The sequence below is a fragment of the Homo sapiens genome, chromosome 7 (assembly GCF_000001405.40).
Source record: "Homo sapiens chromosome 7, GRCh38.p14 Primary Assembly".
NCBI lineage: Eukaryota > Metazoa > Chordata > Mammalia > Primates > Hominidae > Homo > Homo sapiens.
Window position 1 is genome coordinate 122,203,260 of NC_000007.14, and position 16,405 is coordinate 122,219,664.

Here is a 16,405-nt window from a genome sequence, read left to right on the forward strand (position 1 = left end):
TTTTCTTAGTACAAGTGTATGCATGCACAAACATGTTTTTAACAAAAGAAGGAGGAAATACTCATGACAATTACAGTCCTTGTTTCTGCAATTGGTCATGTGGTTGTAGGCTGGTATTGATAACTACCTTCTTCTACTACCCATTCTGTATTCCGTTTGCCTTCAGCAAGCACCTCAGCAGGTCATGGTTTTTTCCCTGGTGAAGTGACCCAAACCTTCATTCCTGAAGGATCTGGACCCTTTGTAGTCCTGCCTGGATTGGACTATTGTAGTTTCCCATTGACCTTCATCACAGGGCATAGTAATACTAAGAGATGCCCTAAAGCATCTTCTGTATTACACATACACTCTTCCTTACTTCCATTGTGGAGTAGTAGACTGATTTCATCTTGATAGTCCAGATCAGTCACCCCAGCCAACACTGCAACTCCCTTCTTAGCATGTTGGCTTAAAGGTAAGAGGAGCTCAAAGTGTCCAGGTGGCAATCTTAACTTCTAGTTTAATGGAATTGTTATTGTGTCTCCTGGTGGCAGCGTTCCTCCCTCCAGAGCTAAGACCTCCAGGCCAGCAGAACATAATGTCATGGGAACAAGAAGCAAAAATTTTGCTAGTGGATCACTAGGGGTGATGGTGAATGGTGCCATTTCCAATTCCACCCCTTAATTCCTGGACCAGTGAAACCTGGCTACAGGAGAAACAGTGCCATATATCGGACACTGGTTCAGAGCATACACAGCCTTCTGGAGAACTTTGCCCCAGCCCTGCAATGTATTGTCACCTAGTTGGTGTTGTAATTGTGACCTCAAAAGGCCACTCAACAGTTCTTTCAATCCACCTGCTTCTGGATGATGAGGAGCATGGTAAGACCAGTGAATTCCATGGGCATGAGCCCACTGCCACACTTCCTTAGCCATAAAGTGAGTGTCTTGGTCATAGGCAATGCTGTGTGAAATACTATGAGGGTGGATAAGACATTCTGTGAGTCCATGGATGGTAGTCTTGGCTGAAGTACTACATGCAGGATAGGAAAACCCATATCCGGAGTAAGTGTCTATTCCAGTGAGGACAAACCTCTGCCCTTTCCATGAGGGAAGTGGTCCAATATAACCAACCTGCCACCACCAGGTAGCTGGCTGATCGCCCCTAGAAATGGTGCCATATGGAGGGCTCAGTGTTGCTCTCTGCTGTGGCAAATTGGGCACTCAGCAGTGGCTGTAGCCAGGTCAGCCTTGGTGAGTGGAAGTCCAGGTTGCTGAGCTCACATGAAACCTCCATCTCTGCTACCATGGCCACTTTGTTCATGGGTCCTTTTGGTGACGACAGTGGTGGCTGGGGAAAGAGGCTGAGTGGTGTCCACAGAATGAGTCATTCTATCCATTTGATTAGTAAACACTCCTGCTGAGGTCACCCTTGGTGAGCACTCACATGAAATATAAATATCTTCACAGTTTTTGACTACTCAGAGAGGTCCACCCACATACCTCTTCCCCAAATTTCTTTGTCACCAATTTTCCAATTATACTTCCAAGTCTCTGACCATCCAGCCAAACCACTGGCTACAGGCCATGAATCAGTATATAATCACACATCTGGCCATTTCTCCTTCCATGCAAAGTGCACAACGAGATGCATTGCTCAAAGTTCTGCCCACTGGGAAGATTTCCCTTCACTGCTGTCCTTAAGGGATGTCCTAGAAAGGGGTTGCAGTGCTGCAGCTGTCCACTTTGGGGTGGTGCCTGCATATCATGCAGAACCATCTGTGAACCAGGCTGTAGCCTTCTCTTCTGTAAACTGATCATAGGAAACTCCCCAAGATGCCATTGGTGCAGACTGTGGGAGAGAAGGCAAGGTGTCAGGAGTGGAGATCATGGGCATTTGAGCCACTTTCTCGTGTAACTTACTTGTGCCTTCAGGACCTGCTCGAGCCCAGTCAGGTATATTCACTTCCATCCGATGATGGAATGCTGCTGTTCACGACCCACTTTATGGCTAGATGGGTCAGAAAGCACCCAGTTCATGATAGGCAGTTCAGGTCACATGGTGGCTTGATGACTCATAGTCAAATGTTCAGTTTTCATCAAAGCCCAGTAACAGGCCAAGGTCTGTCTCTCAAAAGAAGAGTAGTTATCTGCAGAAGATGGCAGAGCCTGGCTCCAAAATCCTAGAGCACTGTAATAAACCTATGGGGGCCTGCCAGAGGCTCCAAACAGCATCCCTGTTTGCCACTGACACGTGAAGAACCATTAGATCTGCTGGGTCATATGGCCCAAGTGGCAGAGCAGCTTTCACAGCAGCCTGGACCTGTTGAAGAGCCTTCTCCTCTTCTGGACCCTACTAAAAACTGGCAGCCTTCCAGGTCACTCAATAAATGGGCCAGAGTAACACACCAAAATGAGGAATGTGTTGCCTCCAAAATCCAAATAGGCCCACTAGGTATTGTCCCTCTTTCTTGGTTGTAAGAAGGGCCAAATGCAGCAACTTATCATTCACCTTAGAAGGAATATCTTGACCGGCCCCACACCACTGAAACCCTAGAAATTTTACTGAGGTAGAAGGTCCCTAAATGTTAATCAGATTTATGGATTTATTTCCCATTCTCTGGCCCACAGATGTCTCACCAATAAGTTCAGTGTATTTGCTACTTCTTGCTCACTGGATCCAATCAGCATAATGTCATCAGTGTAATGTGGTATCTTATGGAAGCAAAAAGTGATCAAGATTATGACACAAAACTGGAGAGTTGATATACCCCTGAGGTAGGACAGTAAAGGTGTATTGCTGGCCTTGCCAGCTGAAGGCAAATTGCTTCTGGTGGGCCTTATGGACAGGAATGGAAAAAAAGGCATTTGCCAAATCAATGGCTGCATACCAGGTACCAGGAGATGTGTTAATTTGCTCAAGCAATTAAACCACATCTGGTACAGCAATTGCACTTGAAGTTATGACTTGGTTAAGCTTATGATAATCCACTGTCATTCTCCAAGATCCATATGTCTTCTTCACAGGCCAAATAGGAGAGTTGAATGGGTATGTGGTGGGAATCAACACCCCTGTGTCTTTCAAGTCCTTGATGGTGGCACTAATCTCCACAATCCCTCCAGGACTGTGATAATGTTTTTGATTTACTATTTTTTTTAGGTAGAGGTAGCTCTAATGGTTTCCATTTGGCCTTTCCCACCATGGTAGCCCTCACTCTACCAATCAGGGAGCCAATTTGGGGGTTCTGCCAGCTGCTAAGTATGTCTATGCCAATTATGCATTCTGGCACTGGGGAAATGACCACAGGATGAGTCCAGGGACCCACTGGACCCACTGCAAGTCAGACCTGAGCAAAACACCATGATTATCTGACCTCTGTAAACCCCTACTTTAACTGGAGGACCACAATGACGTTTTGGGTCCCCTGGAATCAATGTCAGCTCAGAGCCAGTGTCCAGTAGTCCCTGAAATGTCTTGTCATTTCCCTTTACCCAGTGCACAGCTACCCTGGTAAAATGCTAGAGGTCTCCTTGGGAAAGGATGGGAGAAAGATTAACAGCATAAATTATCAGTAGCGTGTAGGGGTCCTTCCTCAAGGGGACTCAGCCTCCCTTTCATTCGAGGGATTCTGGGTCTGTAAACTGGCTCGTCTGGAAATTGATTGAAGGGTCATTATGTTCTACTTTTATAATTCAAATTAGTCTTTTGTCCACTCAACCTGGAAGTTTTCTGCTTATATAAATTAAGTAGGAATGCAGTAGGCTTCCTATCAATTTCACTTCTAGGAACACTACAATTAATTAGCCAATGCCAGAGCTCTACACGAGTCAGACTATTCTGATTACTGCTTTGCCTCTGCTGTCTATTACAGTAGCTATGCCTACCTTACCTTTGATGGTTGAGTACCTCCACTTGGGAGTTGCCAACTTGGGATCCAATTATTCCCATTGCATGTAAATTTTGTAGTTGAGTGACTGTGGTTCCCACTGTTAGATCTGGAATGCAGAGAAGAGCAATCACAGAGCCCTTCAAAGATGCAGGTGCTTCCCTCACAAATCTATTTCACAAAGCACAGTTCAAGGTTGCATCTTCTGGACCCTCCCAGCTGGGATGAGTAGGTCTAAAGTGACTAATCCACTCTAGCATCCCAATCTCCCTAAGCCTTTGGATTCCTTCCTCTACATAAACCAAGGAAAATCAGGCATTTCCAGCTTGCTTACAGTAGGCCATCTTTTAATCCATATTTCAGCTAACCAAACAAATAAACTATTAGAACCTTTTTTTAACTTCCTGAGCTACAACATTAAATGCAGAATCCCTACTTAGAGGACCCAAATCTATAAATTCAGCCTGATCCAACTCTATGTTCCTTCCACCATTATCCCACACCCTTAATATCCATTCCCATGTCTGTTCTCCAGATTTCTGCTTATATAAATCAGAAAACTCAAGCAGTTCTTTTCAAGTGTAGTCCACCTCCTCATGGCTCATACTCTGAACCTCAACTCTAGAAACCCACTAGGACTTTAGTCAAGTTATAGGTCTAGAAGAAAACAGAGGTGTTGGGGGTGGCTCCTGAGGAGAATCAACATTATCTTGCCTGGCAACTGCATCAGGGGAGGACATCATTGTTGTCTCAGGCAGCACAGGGTTTATCTCCTCAGGCAAAGGTGGAAAGGCTGATGGCAGCATGGGTCAGGGAGGGGATGTTGCCACTACTGGGGATGGAGAAGCTGCTTCTTCTGGCTAAAAGTTTCATCAGAGTTTACAAGCTCAGTGTACCCAGCTTCATCAGGGTCCTTCCATATATTGATCGCAAGTTGCATGGTTCTATTCTTTTTCAATCAATACCCTCACTTTAACAGTAGACACCTGGTGAGGCTGTGCATGCATCTTTCATTGCAGGTCAGCCACTAGTATAATAAGAGCTTGTGTCTGATTTTCCACAATTTCAGCTCTTTCTCTACAGGAGATAAGACTCTCACTCAGGGCAAGATTAGCAGATTTGAGGCTCAGTATCTGCTTCTGAAACTGGGAGTTAGAATCCCTGAGTTCATCATTTTCTTTCATCACCTCGTCCAGTGAATTTTGAAGCAACCAACCAACCAATGTCATTGTGTTCCTTGGTTCTCCACATATAGTCAAAGGTATTATGTGTAGAGTCACTAAACTCCTTGCCTCTCACGAGTGGTGAATCAGGTGTGTCAAATGAATTTATTTTGCATAACTCTTTAAACAGTCCACACCAAAGACTACCAGTGTTCTCCACACTATTAGAATTAGAGTCCTTAGCATTTTTAGGTCTAATCATATTAAGAAGCCAACTCCAGAAACGCCAAAACCAACAAAAGAACTCCATCCTTAATAATCTGTTCCTCTAGAAAGACTCTTGATACCAAAATCTGTATTTAATCATGGTTCTCTAGACGGACAGAACTAATAGAAAAAAATATATATATATATATATGTGTGTGTGTGTGTGTGTGTTAATTAAGGAGTATTAACTCACAATCACAAGGTCCTATGATAGGCTGTCTGCAAGCTGAGGATCAATGAAGCCAATCCGAGTCCCAAAGCTGAAGAACTTGGAGTCTGATATTTGAAGGCAGGAAGCATCCGGCACGGAGAAAGATGTAGGCTAGGAGGCTAAGCCATTCTAGTCTTTTCATGTTCTTCTGCCTGCTTTTATTCTGGCCATTCTAGCAGCTGATTAGATTGTGCCCACCCAGATTAAGAGTGGGTCTGCCTTTCCCCGTCCACCAACTCAAGTGTTAATCTCCTTTGGCAACACCCTCACAGACACACCCAGAATCAATACTTTGCATTCTTCAAACCAATCAAATTGACACTCAGTATTAATCCTCACAATATTCTTCACAGGAATAAAAAAAACTATCCTAAATTTCATATTGAACCACAAAAGACCCAGAATAGCCATATCTATCCTAAGCAAAAAGGACAAAACCAGAGGAATCACATTACTGACTTCATATTATACTAGTTATGGTAATAAAACAGCATGGTACTGGCATAAAAACAGACACATAGACCAATGGAACAGAACAGAGAACTCAGAAGCAAATCCACACACCTACAGTGAACTCATTTTTCGACAAATGTGCCAAGAACACACACTGAGGAAAAGACAGTCTCTTCAATAAGTGGTGCTGGAAAAACTGGATATCCATATAAAAAAGAATGAAACTGGACCTGTATCTCTCACCAATACAAAAGTCAAATCAAATGGATTAAAGACTTAAATCTAAAGCTTCAAACTGTGAATCTACTACAAGAAAACATTGGGGAAAATCTCCAGGAGATTAGTCTGGGCAAGGATTTGTTGAGTATTATCCCACAAGCGCAGGTAACCAAAGCAAAAATTGACAAATGGGATCACATCAAGTTAAAAAAGCTTCTGCACAACAAACAAAACAATCAACAAAGTGAAAAGACAAACTATTTCTCACAAAATAGAATGTGAGAAAATATTTGCAAACTATCCATCTGACAAGGGATTAATAACCAGAATATGTAAGGAGCTGAAACAACTCAACAGGAAAAACATCTAATAGTATAATTAAAAATGGGCAAAAGATTTAAATAGACATTTCTCAAAGGAAGATATACAAATGGCAAACAGGCATATGAAAAGATGCTCAATGTCACTGATCATCAGAGGAATGCAAATCAAAACTACAATGAGATATAATTTCATTCCAATTAAAATTGCTTATATTCAAAAGGCAGGCAGTAACAAATGCTGGCAAGGATGTGAAGAAAAGGGAACCCTTGTACACTATTGGCGGGAATATAAATTAGTACAACCACTATGGAGAACAGTTTGGAGATTCCCCTAAAAACAAAAAATAGGACAACCATATGATTCAGCAATCCCACTATTGGGTTCATTCCCCAAAGAAAGCAAATCAGTATATCAAAGAGATATCTGCACTCCCATACTTACAATCGCCAAGATTTGGAAGCAACCAAAGTGTTCATCAACAGATGAATGAATGAAGAAAATGTACATATACACAATAGAGTACTATTCAATCATAAGAAAGAATGTCATTCAGTAATTTGCAACAACATGGATGGAACTGGAGATCATTATGCCAAGTGAAATAAGCCAGGCACAGACAGAAAAGCATCGTATGTCATGTTCTCACTTATTTGTGGGATCTAAAATTCAAAACAATTGAACTCATGGACATAGATAATGGAAGGATGGTTACCAGATACTGGGAAGGGTAGTGTGGGGCGGGGGCTGAAAGGGAAGTGGGAATGGCTAATGGGTACAAAAATACATAGAAAGAATGAATAAGACATACCATTTGACAGCACAATAGAGTGACTATAGTCAATAATAACTTAATCATACATTTTCAAATAACTTAAAGAGTATAATTGGATGGTTTATAACTTAAAGGATAAATGCCTAGGGGATGGATAACCCATTCCCCATGATGTGCTTATTTCACATCGCATGCCTATATCAAAACATCTGATGTACCCCATAAATATATGCATGTACTCTATACCCACAAAAATTGAAAATTAAGATTTAAAAATGTAATGAAATGCTTTATTTTATTTTTCTGGAAAATGTGATTGTGGCTTTAGGGGGCTAATAAATAATACTCCTCTCTTTCCTACCCCAATAGATGCAAGAATCTGATAGAGATTAAAGCATGAACATTATTGATAAAAGCTAGAATGGAGGATGTGGCTTAAATATTCAGCCTCAATAGATTTCCTAACAGTTTGCTCCATATTGAATTTTCCTACAGGCAGTAATGGACAACTGTATGCATTTCCTGTAGAGACACTCATTATTCACTCAATAAATATTTATTGAATGTAAACTATGGGCCAGATACTGTTTTAGGTGCTGAGGATTCAACAGTGAACAACTCAAAGTCACTGCACTCAGGGAGTTCACATTCTAAGTAGTGAGGAGATCTTGAGTCTGCTAAGACTTGAGTTTGGCTGCAGATCTAGAGGAAAGTAGAGTTTTGGGGGGTAGGTCCTGAAGAAGATCAGCAATATCTTGGAAGGCAACTACCTCAGGGGAAACCATTGCAGGTGTTTTAGGCAAAGCGAGACTAACTTCCTGAGGAAGAGATGGTAGGGCTCTTTCTTCTGGTGAAAAAGGCTTGGTGTAATTTATAGGTTCAAGACACCAGCTTCGTCACAATCTGCCCATATGTCTTGATTCCAGTTTCTGAGAATGCCATTCCTTCCAATCAATGCCGTAACTTTAACAAAGGGGCCCTGTGTGGTTGGGCATTCAGTTGACATTGTAATTCAGCCACTCACAAGGTGAGAATGTTTTTTCTTTCATTTTCATAAACTTCAGTCCTGTGCCTACAGAAGATAATGGTTTCAGAGTAAACATAGAAGATTCCAGGTCCCTTGTGAGAATGTTGAGCTAAGAATTTAAAGCCCTGAGCTTATAATTTTCTTTCCCTAAGTTCTCAGGTATTGTTAGAAGCAACCAACCAACTCTATCTTGCTCATTTTCACTAAAATATTCTATTGGTAGCAAATACTTGAAAACCTGAAATGCCTTTTATAAGCATTTGATTGCAGGTATCTAAAGGAGATAATTTGAGTAACTTTTTTGGCCATGAACTACCACATGCCATGAACTACTAGTGCTCCCTTTACCACTGGAGACATGGTCATTAGTGCCTTTAAATCTAATCAGATCAGAGGGCCAATGCTAGAAAACCCAAATCCAATTCAGATAACTCATCCTTGAGATTCTGTTCTCTGGAACCACTCTCAGTATGCAATTCTGTTATCAGGATTCAGTCAGAGAAGCAGACCCACTAGGAGGTGTGTATCTATATATACATCTACCTATGTATCTATTTATCTGTCTGTTTGAATATCTATCTATCTATCTATCTATGTATTTATCAAGACACTTGTTACAGGAATTTGATCTTTTTTTTTATTTTTTGAAACAGTCTCACTCTGTCACCAGGCTGGAGTGCAGTGGTGTGATCTCGGTTCACTGCAACCTCTCCCTCCTGGGTTAAGCTATTCTCCTGCCTCAGCCTCCTGAGTAGCTGGGATTGCAGGCATGCACCACCATGCATGGCTAATTTTTTTTTTTTTTTTTGTATTTTTAATAGAGATAGGGTTTCACTATGTTGGCCAGGCTGGTCTCGAACTCCTGACCTCAAGTGATCCACCCACCTCAGCCTCCCAAAGTGCTGGGATTACAAGCATGAGCCACCGTGCCCAGCCGGAATTTGATCTTCTATAATTGTGGGAGCAGCCACACACAGTCTGAGTCAGATTGTTGTCTTCATATCTGAAGCTGGAATATGAAGTCCGCAAGACAGTCACTAGGGAAGGGACGGTAAATGTAAATGGGGGCAAAAAAGATTAAGCTGGACCCCAAAGCACAAGATGGAACCCATGAGAAAGGACTAAAACTCTTGACAGTTCCTGTTGCTTCTGACTACAGTAATATAGATGTTTGGAAGATGTGTTCTGAACATACACAGCCGCATACAAGTTTAAAATCTAAAGGAAGATACAAAGGAAGGGGAGCAGTTGCAGGCCCAGCAACTATGAAGATGAGCTAGCCAGTGAAACCACATGTGAGCTACAAGGTGGCTGATGTTCCCCTGCATTCTTACTAGAATAGAAACTTACTCTGATAGAGATCTTCCTTCCTTTCTGCAATGTTTCTGTCAAAACTACAATTCATGGATTTCCTGTATTCTACCCAGCATCATCTCTGACCACACAGTATCACAACAAGGCAAGGAATTTATTTCATAGCAAATGGAAGTATAGCAATTAACTCATGCTTATGGAATTCATGAAACTTACAGTGTTCTCCTTTATTCTGAAGCACTTGACTTGTTAGAATGGTAAAATGATCTTTTGAAGACTCAGTTACTGTGTGAGCTAAGTGACATATTGTAAGCTCTTTTCTCCAGCATTCAGTAGCACCCTAAATCAACAACCATTATATGGTGCTGTTTCGCTCATAGACAGAATTTATAGGTCCAAGAATCAAGAGGTGAAAATGGAACTGTCTCCTCTCACTAATGGCCTTAGTGATCCATGAGCAAAACTTTTGCTTTTCCCCCGTGACTTTAGGTTTAGCTGGCCTAGAGGTCTTTGTTCCAAAGGATGTAATGCCCCTACTAGGAGATAAAACAATCCATTAAACTGGGAGTTGAGACTGGCTCTCAACACTTTCAGCTCTGCATGACACTGAATCAACAGGTGAAAGAGGGGGTGACTGAACTGCTAAAAGTCAGTTTCTGACTGGTGAAAATAGAGGAATTGAGGTTACTTTATATAATGAGACAAATAGGAAGTTTGTTGGAATACAGAAGATGCTCTGGGACACCTCTTAGTACATTCCTGAGAGCAAAGTCCATGGAAAACTGCAACAATCCAATTTAAACAGAACTGCTAAAAACTCAGACCCCTCAAGAGTAAAAGTTAGGACCACCTCACCCAGGAAAAACATCATGACCAGTTGAGGGACTTGGTTAGGGCAAAGGAAATAGAGAAAGGACCATGGAAGAAGGTATGGAAATACCTGAGACTGGGTTATGTATAAGAAAAGAGGCTTAATCAGCTCATGGTTCTGTAGGCTGTTCAGGAAGCATAATGCTGGCATCTGCTCAGCTTCTAGAGAGGCCTAAGGAAGCTTACAATTTATTACTATAAATATTGGCTATGCTATGTGACCAGTTGTAGAAATAAGGACTGTCATAGTTATGAATTTTTTATTTTTATACAAATATTTTTGTTTTATTGCTCCTTTAATCCTTTATAATTTAACGTAAGACATGTTAATAGTGGTTGTCTGTATTTAAGTTACAGGATATCAAAGTGGAGTGTGAACCAGCCAGGAGGAGAACGAATAACACCCAAAGACAAAAAAGGACTTGTTGTCTTTTCTGGGGAAAGGGTTAGTGTGCTTTTCAGTTGCATGTGAGATAGTTGTAGCATAGTAGGAAGACATATGACTTTGTTATTGTTATTTCATATGAAGTATGGTTTAAGGAGATATGTATAGATGCCAAGTTAGCAAGAATTGGACCGTGGTATCTTGTCAACTTGACTAGGTTGAATTACATTTTTCAGAATTCTATTTCATGTAAGTTTTCCATTAGGGAGGGTCAGGAGAAAGACCTTCTTTTAAAAGACTATGGGGCAGAATGATATATTTAAATATCTACATGTAGGTAGATAGGTAGATAGATAAACATACAGACAGAAATATCTCTGTCTTTGTTCAGATAGAATAGATATCTGAACAGAGATAGTTCAGATAGTTCACATATCTGAACAGAGATAGAGATATCTCTGAATATATCCACATATAGATATATTTATATCTATCTTCCCTTTCTAACTACCAGAGCTATGAACTCAAGATTTAGTATAAATGTGATGAAAACAGTCTTACAGAAACTGCCTAACCAGATCAGCTCCACAATTGTTCTATACAGTCAAATCCCTACAATAAATCATTTTACAAATCTTTCTTTTTTTGTAGATTTTACAAAATCGTACAACAAATCTTTAGATTTATAGATCCTACAACAAATCCTTTTAGATCTATAGATCTTGTAGTGGTTTTGCTTCTCTAATTGAACCCTGATATAATGTATTCCAAATGCGGAGCCAATAGAATTTGCTAACATATTGGATTTAGGGTACAAGAGAAAGAAAGAGGTCAAAAATGACTTCAAGGTGTCATTTGGAAACCAGAAACTAGAAGACTGAGAAACCAGAGAGTGAGAGGGCTGAAATTGAATGGGTCTAAGGGAGAAAATTAAAAATGTGTAGCAATGTTATATTTAAAATACCTACTAGACATCTAGATGGGGGTGTCAGGTAAGCACCTGGGTTTACAAGTCTAGAGGCTTCAGTGAAGAGCACTTAACTAAAGAAAAAATGGGAAGTCACCCCAATATCATAGATAATGCTAAGGTTGTGGAAATGGATGTGGGCACCTAGGAAGTGAATATAGAAAAAGAAAGAAAATAATCTAAGAATGAAAAAATGAAAGAAGAAAAAGAATTAGAAAAATGAATAGGATTCATCAGAGATTAAGAAGGAGTAGCCAATACGGTAGATAAAACGGTACCTAGCTATGTCAAATGTTCCTGATAGATGAAGACTAAAAATATAACATTGAATTTAGCAATGGAGAGGTCACTTCTGACTTTGAGTGGAACAACTTTAAGTAGAGTGATGGAGGCGAAAGCTTAACTAGAGCTGACTCATTAGAAAATGAGAGGAGAGGAAAGTGGAGACTAAAAATGCAGTCCACTTTTCTCAGAAATTCTAGTGTCAAGAGTAGCAGGGAAACGGTAGAAGCTGGTGGGAGATATGGGATATAAAACACCTATATTTTTAGGTGGGAAATGTTACAGTATGTTTATATGCTGATGTATCAGGCCGTTCTTGCATTGCTATAAGGAAATAACTGAGACAGGGTTATTTATAAGAAAAGGGGTTTAATCAGCTTATGGTTCTGCAGACTGTACAGGAAGCATAGTACTGTCATCTCCTAAGTTTCTAAGGAGGCCTCAGGAAGCTTACAATCATGGCAGAAGATGAAGGGAGACCAGGCACATCACACAGCAAAAGGAGGAGCAAGTGAGAGAGCCAGTGGGTCAAGAGAGGTGCCACACACTTTTAAATGACCAGACCTCCTGAGAGTTCACTATCACAAGAACAGCACAAAAAGGATGGTGCTAAACCATTCATGAGAAATCTGCCCCTGTGACCACCTCCGGCTGGCCCCACTTCCAACACTGGGGATTACAATTCAACATGAAATGTGGGCAGGGATGAATGTACAAAGTATATCAGCTGATATAAATGATTAAGTAGATCAATAAAAGAAATTAATGATTGGGGAAAACTGCTAAAGCAATGCCCTTGGAAAGATGAATGGGATCTAGAGCACAAGTAGATAGGTCTTGGATTGGAATGTAGGCTGTTTACGTGTAAATGAAAGAAAGGCAGTTATATGAGTTTAGGTATAGATGGATTAGTAGATTTGGTAATGGGAATCTGTGGAAGTTCTTTGCTGATTACTTCTATTTTCTCAGTGAAGAAAGGAACAAGGTGTTCAGCTAATAACGTGGTTTGGGAAGGGAGTTTGAAAAGAGAAGATAAAGAAATACTCATCTAGGAGAGTAGGAGTGTGGATGGACTAGAAAAAAGGTAAGATCGCTGGGAAGCACTTGAGTTTGGTAGACATGGATTTAAGGACAAAGCCTATCTCAGTACATTTCACTGTGGAGAGAAGCAGGACACAACTCCTTCGTGCAAAGTCTGATCTGAAAAAAAAAAAAAAAAAAAGAGAGAGAACAGAAGGAGTAGAGCCAACCATATTCAATTTCTTCTTCAAAGAAAGTGGTCAGATAAGTCAACCTACTTCCAGTACAGAGAAGAAAGCCAAAGGACAGGGAAAAGCTGGAAGTATCTCTTTTCTGGGCTTTTTCTCCTTGGGAATGAAATAGTTGAAAATGTCCTTCCTTCTATGAAAACATGAAAAGGAGGGGTAGGTGTCCCCCTAACGTGTGGCATCGTTTAATAAGGCCCCAATGGGATATGCATTCTGCACACTGTACTACAGGATTTCTTTAAAATACTTCTTAAAGAACCCATCCAATTTTATGCAAGTATTCAAAAGTCTCTAATGGGATTCATTTTAATTATTGTAACAGAAAAAGAAATTCTTGGTCCCCAACATGGAAATCCAAGATGCAAGGAAATCATAGGCTCTGGTAAGTGCTTTCCAAAAATATATGTGAATTTTTTTTTTTTTTGGCTCAGTTGGAGTTACCTGATTCATAGGTCACTAGCAGGGGGCACGTCATTGTGGGTCCCTTCAGAGACTGTCCTCATGCATTCATCAGTCACACTTCCATATGTTAAGTATCACATAGAGCTGGAGCTACAGTACAAGGGAATTTGAACACAAAGGCCTGAAGTTGAAAGCCCCAAAACTGAAAATGCTCCAAGTAATCCATGACTCACCTTGTTTGTATAATTGCAACACACAAACATACAAGTTAATCCTGTCTGGAGTACAAAGATGACATGAGCCAACGACTTCATGGCTAAACTCCTGGTTGGGTCAAGATTCTGAGTACAGTACAACTGGCTTTGCAACAGTCAGATGATACTGTATCTGGGCTATCTGATATAGAAGAATATGTAGAGAGGAAATGTGAGTGGCAAAAAGAATATCGAATTCCCGGCCCAACCCAGAATATTCTAAGTGTTGGCAATAGTAGAAAAGGCTATGGCTGCTGAGACGTCCTTCCAACAATAAAATTGTCTCTTTATGAGATCTTCGAATGATAAAGTAAAGTTTTGCATTTAAATGTAATCAAGTTGTTTAAAAATACATAGCAATGGAAAATGTTAGGAAATTCTACCTAAACACAAATGTGTAAAATGATAGTTAATTTTATTTTTGACATTAGTTTAGCATTCCAGCTAAACCTGGGTAAAATTTGAGATTTTAATGAGATGCTCATATAAGGAGAGCTAAATTTCAATATAGCTGTAGTTTTCCTATAGCAGAAACTGCTCATTTAATTCGACAGAAGAGCTATAAATTCAAGCATAAGTGCCAATACATACGGTAACAAAAAAAATCATAAAAGAAACTCTCTTTCATATTTAACACTGGTTCTCTGCCCCAACTACAATTAGATTCACTTGGGGAAATTTTTAAAAAATATTGATGCCTGGACGCCACTCCAGGTTAATTGTGTCATAATGAAATGGGGAGTGGGGGGGTGGGAAGGCACAGATGAAGCTCAGAAGCTCCTCAGGTGACCCTGTTCTGCACCACGATCTACAACGATTCTCAATCTTGCTGTACTTAGAATCACCTGGGGAAGAAACCGCTGCAGACCAAATTGCATCTTAGATCCATTAAATCAGAAACTTGGATTGCTGGATTCAGGTACAAGTATTTTTAAAGCTCCCTAAGTGATTATAATGTATAGCCAAAGTTGAGAACTACTGCTTTGGAGCCACTGGTCTAATGGAACAAATTGCATTGATTTACTTCCCTTAATATTACTATGTATAACTAACTAAATAAGATGTATTATTTTATGTTTCTTCTTAATATTGGCATAAACCAATAAATTAGTGTATGTATGTTTCATTGTTAGAAGAATATATGAATATTATTTTTGTACCAGATATTCCATCAGGAGCAGAAACGTTCACAGAAAAGGGGCACAAATTTTAGGGGCAGAGTAAGATGTGAACCATACAATCAGCTCTGAGCATCCTCCTCTGCCCATTTGCCTCATATGGTTTTAAGGATGGTAAGTGCAGATAAAGCTGTGAATGAGAAGAGGAACAGAGCAGTCATCATGGAACATGAGAGAGAAGCTATGTATTCAAGGCCCCAGAACCACAAGTAGAAGGAGCCTGGATCCCAGATAATTTTGTGGGTCCCATAGTCCTGAATTGCCTGCCCAGGCTTTAACATGAAAGAGAACAATTTCTCTATTTCATTTAAACCACAGTTATTACAGGGTCTCTTTCAACAGCCAAACCTATTACCTAACTAACACAAGTCATGACCAGGTAGTCTTGCTAACAGAATATCTCATATTCAATTAAGTGTTTTAAATATATACCATTGTTACTGCACCTGAACAACCGAAAACTTCTGTGAGAAGACCAAAAATCTATACTTAGTAGAAATTTTCCTTCTTAATTTTAGCATCTACAGAAATGTGCCCCATATTTTGTCCTGTGAATGACTTTCAAAAGTTCAGACTTGTGTAATGCCCTATAAGTTGAACCAAATATTAATTTCTTTGCAATATATAAAGATTTTATTTAACATAGTGTAATATAAAGATAATATATGTCTAATGTAGTAGATGTCAAGTACAGTATGTGTTTGGTATTTAGACCTTATAAAAAAAATTTTTCTAGCTCTTGTCTACCATGTAGGTAACATATTCCCATTTTATAAATAAAGCAATTCCAGAACATGTTTCAATTCTCTTAATTCCATGGTTTTTTCTATATTATCTCATGTTGCAGTTAAATTTAATTTCAAATTTATACTATTTTAAAATCATTATTGGTATTTCTGCAAATTGTAGTTAGTTTCCATTTGAAATTATTTTCCTCACAATTGTGCTTATGCTGCAATTCACAATGATGACACTGGATGGCACCAAATTTTACCTTTTAAAGTTGATTTTCCATTTAAACTATGACTGGTGCACAGCAAATATTTAAGTTACAGAACTTACTCAAAAACTGAATACTTTAATCACATAAATACAAACCCTAATTCCCAAGTCAATGATAAAAACCAACATAATTGCACCACATGTTTGTAACTGAAGAAACAAATTATGTGCATAAATGAAGA

General features: G+C 39.8%; 1 long non-coding RNA gene across 5 annotated transcripts in view; it reads left to right on the plus strand.

Moving 5' to 3' along the window:
• LOC102724527 (uncharacterized) overlaps positions 1-16,018 on the plus strand; it is a 74,864-nt gene extending 58,846 nt beyond the window's left edge. For 2 of the 5 annotated variants that reach the window (XR_007060497.1, XR_007060501.1), the window contains 4 exons: positions 10,837-10,930; positions 13,089-13,203; positions 13,710-13,769; positions 14,883-16,018. This is a non-coding gene — a long non-coding RNA (uncharacterized LOC102724527). Of the gene's footprint in view, positions 1-10,836; positions 13,770-14,882 lie in introns of all 5 variants that reach the window. The other 3 variants (XR_007060498.1, XR_007060499.1, XR_007060500.1) reach the window with 2 other exon arrangements.
• Positions 16,019-16,405: the final 387 nt, after the last annotated feature.